The sequence below is a fragment of the Homo sapiens genome, chromosome 11 (assembly GCF_000001405.40).
Source record: "Homo sapiens chromosome 11, GRCh38.p14 Primary Assembly".
NCBI lineage: Eukaryota > Metazoa > Chordata > Mammalia > Primates > Hominidae > Homo > Homo sapiens.
In genome coordinates this window covers 109,730,112-109,735,430 of record NC_000011.10, presented here as the reverse complement: position 1 = coordinate 109,735,430, position 5,319 = coordinate 109,730,112, and the positions used below count along the sequence as shown (strand labels likewise).

The 5,319-nt window shown below is 39.7% G+C and overlaps 1 annotated feature.

The window, feature by feature from the left end:
- Positions 1-201: a silencer, noted in NCBI's record as "peak1462 fragment used in MPRA reporter construct". NCBI's record gives its function as "represses an SCP1 promoter by STARR-seq MPRAs in K562 erythroleukemia cells {active_cell/tissue: K562}" and the evidence as "EXISTENCE:reporter gene assay evidence [ECO:0000049][PMID:32103011]".

The following is a 5,319-nucleotide window of genomic DNA, read 5'->3' as shown; positions in this document are numbered from 1 at the left end:
AATGTGTCAGTCTGTCAAACCCATTTAAATTATGGCCACCTGCTGTTTCACACACAGGCTAACCATGGCTGAATCATCCATCTGTGGCCCAGTCTCACTACAGTGTGACGACAGCATGTGCCTTTCTGAATCTTTGTCAAGGGTATTGCCTCACTGGATTAAGTACCCACTATGTGCAGGCCACAGTGTTAAGACTGTGGGGGTAACTCAAGAATGAGAACATTTGTGTATGTATGTTTAATCACAATGAAACAGAAGAGACAGATCACACTAAAATGGAAAGACTATAGTAATTAGGAAAAAAAATAAAAAATAAAATGACCCAGTGTTTATTTTTAAGACTGTTGGTAGTCTGTGTATATGAGTGTATACGTTTCAAAAAGACACTGATACCATTCTAAGACACTTCTAGGATAGCCTTACACAAATATACTCAAAACATCTTTTTCTTCTTTTCTGTCTCAGAGCTATTGGAAAAAGCATCTCTGATTTATGAGGCCATTTCAGGTCATGTTCCTACAGAATACAAAGTCACGAGGTTTAACATTGTTAGACAGTCTCTGGAGCATGTTTCATGAGACACTGCCAAGCTGCTTGGCAGGTCAAAATATCAATCATCACTGCTATGACCATACTCACATAGGCCCCAACTGGAATTCTGAAACATTCCCAGCAATCCTTGAGCTGTCACTTGGTATGCATCCCTGCTTACACAAAGGAAATCCATCAGAGCTGAAACTTATTCATATTCACTTGGTGCATTGCAGTTCTCTAGCGAGGCAATAGCAGCAGGGAACTGCTTATAACGCTCTTTTCAAAGACTGGTTATATATGGCAATGAATATCTTTACAGAGCATAAGAAATAATAGCAATAACCTATCTAATTATAAGGAAGACATATGTATTGACTAGGAAAAGCAGTGGAAACAATGGCTGCATTGTTCTTTGTGGAACAACTGCTCAGAAATAGAGCAGTTACAGAACACAAGTCTCTCCTGGTGCGGTAGAACTATTAGGCAGCCTAAGGGAAGGAGTGCTCAGCTAGAATAAATGAATTTCTGATGCCAATGCAACAATCTTGGAATGGAAATACATACCTAGAGTTCGAAGCCTGGCAAACAACACGCCAGGATTAAGTGGAGTCGGATGCCACTTCTACGGTAGAAAACCAGGCAGAGAAGACCTGTAAATCTCAACTGGTTCTCTGACACAAAAAGTGTAGCTTGTTACCTTCTAAAATATGTGGCCAAGTTTTGAATAAAATTTACTTTTGCTGCAATGAAGACTGTGTGCAGTTTAGCTATGTACAGAATGCCTTCTGGAGACTACAGTTGGGATGGTTACGTAGCAAACATAGAGGGGGTGTGAAATTGTCTGCCATTTTCCAGTAAAAGACCAATCTCTTTTTGTTGCTGGTGTAGTCTCTTCATGTTCACTCCTTGAAATTTATTATTCACTCTGGAGTACTTGCCCCTTCTCTTATCCTACACATTGTCCTTGGTCAGTCTTTGCTGTGCTGGTGGCTCCATTTAGCACCTAGGCACTGATGACTTCTCAGCAGGATTTTAAACATCATTCTGCCATTTACTACCTTAGTGATTAAGAAAAAGTTATCTATAAAGTGTAAGTTACAGTATCTGCCTTACAAAGTTGATGTGAAAATAAGATAGTGTAGGTAAAGCACCTGCATATAGTTGAATCTAAGTATTAGCAAGTATTACAATTAATAAATACATCTCTTAGAGCCTTGGAAGCCATGATCAGACAGGATATTCAAGACAGCTTGGAATTATAATCACAATGGTTAACAGGTATTGAGCATTTAGCAGGAATCAGAAACCAAGCTAACTCTTCATATGTTAACTCGCACAATTCTTGGAGCAATCTTTTAAGCACAATTATCTCCATCTCAGAAAGCTGGGACAGAAAATGGCTACATAACTGGCCAATGTGCACACTGCTTGGAAATGGCAGACTGGGATATGTATCAGGCTGGTTCAGTCTGGCTCCTGAGTCAGCTTGTGCAGTGCTATGAATCTTTGATATGACATATTTATTCTAAACCTTGTTACTTCATTCCATACTCATGACTGGTTCTTTTAAAAACAGAGCTAGAAGGTATGTCCAAGTGAAGGCAAGTGAGAGACTGATTTTGGAAGGAGAATAGTTATCAGTCCAAAGCTTTCTTCTCACAATTCACAAAAAAACCATATTCATTATTAATATGTGAGGTGTGCTTGGGCCAGGTGCTATGTAAAGATTAGAGAGAAAACCAACTGTAGCTCAATTCCTTGTATTAACAAATCTATGTATACCATGCTCTTGATGGGTTTATAACATAGAAAAACACTTGAATGAGGCTTTTGTCACATGTCATAGTTGTTTAACAACTTAAAAGTATTTATATATTGGAAGAAGTATAAAGAAACAAATCGGGGCTGGGTACGGTGGCTCACGCCTGTAATCCCAGCAATTTGGGAGGCCAAGATGGGTGGATCACCTGAGGTCAGGAGTTCAAGACCAGCTTGGTCAACATGGTGAAACCCCGTCTCTACTAAATATACAAAAACTAGCCGGGTGTGGTAGCAGGTGCCTGTAATACCAGCTACTCGGGAGGCTGAGGCAGGAGAGTCACTCAAACCCGGGAGGTGGAGGTTGCAGAGAGCCAAGATCGAGCCACTGCACTCCAGCCTTGGCAGCAAGAGCGAAACTTCGTCTCAAAAAGAGAAGAAAAAAATCTTACCTATAAACTTTGTATTCTGCTTTTTGAAATTCTAGAGTTGTCATTAGGGTGGAAAAAACACAACACAAATGGTGCTAGCCCCCTCACCATATATATATATATTCAGTATGACTCCAAATACTAAATAACTATAAATGCCAACCAAAGCCAGTGTAATTACCTTAAATGTTCAAAAGTGTTTTCAGGGCATCAATCACCTGAAGGATAAAGTCCAGCCTCTTTGGTATGTTACTAGTATTTAAGGCCTTTTATAATCTGGCTCCAACCAACATTCTTGGCCCTACCCCGTTCCACTTTCCCCTTTCCTGTCAATGTCTAGTACTCATCCCCATAAACACCTGCTTCTCTGTGACAATGAGCCCTGCTATTCAAACTGACCCAATAGCCCCATTGACAGTTTTTTTGGATAAACATAGAAAATGACCCTTCTGGTCTTAAAGCTTGAAACTTCTATTTGTTTTATTTGAGTTCCTTCCTCAGGAAAGGACCCCCAGGCCTCTCAAAAAGGATCAAAGAACTGAAACCCACTGGTAACCACATCCAGAAAATGGGACTCCAGGCCTCTCATTCATCATGATTGCTTCCTTTCCCCTCCCTAGTTCCTGTTTTCCCATGTGTAGTTACATTTCTTCCCTGCTATATAAACCCATAATTTTATTTGGTCAGAGAGATGGATTTGAGACTGATCTCCCATCTCCTCACTGCAGCACCCAATTAAAGCCTTCTTTTTTTTTATTATTATGCTTTAAGTTTTAGGATACATGTGCACAACATGCAGGTTTGTTACATGTGTATGCATGTGCCATGTTGGTGTGCTGCACCCATCAACTTGTCATTTAGCATTAGGTATATCTCCTAATGCTATCCCTCCCCGCTCCCTCCACCCTACAACAGTCCCCAGTGTGTGATGTTCCCCTTTCTGTGTCCATGTGTTCTCATTGTTCAATTCCCACCTATGAGTGAGAACATTTCTTCTTGGCAATGATTGTTGTCTCCGTGATTGGCTTTCTGTGCGGCAAGCAGCAAGACCTAGACCAAACCCCTGGTGTTTCAGGAACACTTTCACAATCCTGTGGTTTTTGTCCATATTGTTTCTTTTGTGTAAAGCTATGCTGTTTAGTAAGGTAGTCACTGGCTAGTTAAATGTGATTTAAATGTTTAATTTTAAACTAATTAGTAAAATTAAACATGTAGTTCCTTGGTCACACTAGCCGCATTTCAAGTGCTCAGTAGCCTCATGTATTGGATAGTTCAGATGTGGAACATTTTCATCATTGCAAAATTCTATCAGACTGCCTTGCTTTAAAGTGCCTCGATTTCCTCCCAACCTTGAACTTCTTGGCCCTTCAGGTTCTTGTTTTCAGGTTTCTACCTAAAAGTTACCCCTTCTTGGAGCTTTCTTTGGTGCCTCCCTGTAACCTATCTTCCACTGTATTTTTGTCTTATATTTCTATTCCAGTACATACAATTCTGTTATTTCAGCTGTGCATGTGGCTATTTCCCCCACTTGAATGTCAAAACATGAGAAAAAGGACTTTATGTTCTCATCTTTTATCCTCATCACAGTTCCTGAATTATAGAAATGATTTTTGGATGAATGAATGGTTTGGGATTGCATACAAAGATCCCTGATTTTAATTTTTTCTTCTTTACTCCTCTAGGGGAGGAAAGAGAATGTTGTGTAACGTTTTCATGGTGTTCTATGGAGCAATGAGAATAAATAAGAGCCCATCTTTCTGACCTTTCAATGAATCTGGATTCATAAGGTGTGTTGGGCTCAGGGGACCTGAATTCATTGCTGTCTGTAACTCTTCCCTGATCTCTGACAGGTAAATGTGGAGGTGGAAATGATGATTATCACTAATTATACCTTCAACCCACATCCCTACACCAATGTGTCTTAACTGCCTTCTTATCCAAAACTCTGCAGCCCAACTTACATAGATTTGAAGGGGAAAAGCACCTACGAACATGATACCAATTAACCTCTGTGGTTGCCTCATTTCCTAGAAATTTTCTAAAAGAAAAGATTTAATTGTGTGGTTAATATCAAACAATTTTATAGCAGTCACAGTCTCTGACGCTATAAAATTATGTTTGTATGCTTTCAAAGAGCATAATTTTTGGCCATTTCTATTTCAGTAAAGTCATCAGCAAACAAGGTAGATTCATAGTACAACATTAAGTGTTAAAAAAGTTACGATAAAGAATAATTTTCTAACCCTGTCACAGTTCACACAAGAAGACTATGGAAAACTAAAAATAGGCTAATGGATGAGAGGCAGCCTGGTGCAGCAGAAACAAAGCCCAGGAATGAGAGACAGGAGGATCAGTGTTCAAACCTCAATTCAGACAATGCATACATCTTTCTGGGGTGATTTTTTTTTTGAAGGCGGTAGAATAGGACCTGGGATATGGTGATTCACATCAGAATTACTAAGGGGAATAAGTGATTTTGTTAATTTCCTAGGGCTGCTGTAACAAAGTACCATAGACTTGGTGGCTTAAAACAACAGAAATGTATTCTTCCATAGTTCTGGAGGCTAGAAGTCTAAAATTAAGGTGCCACCAGGGC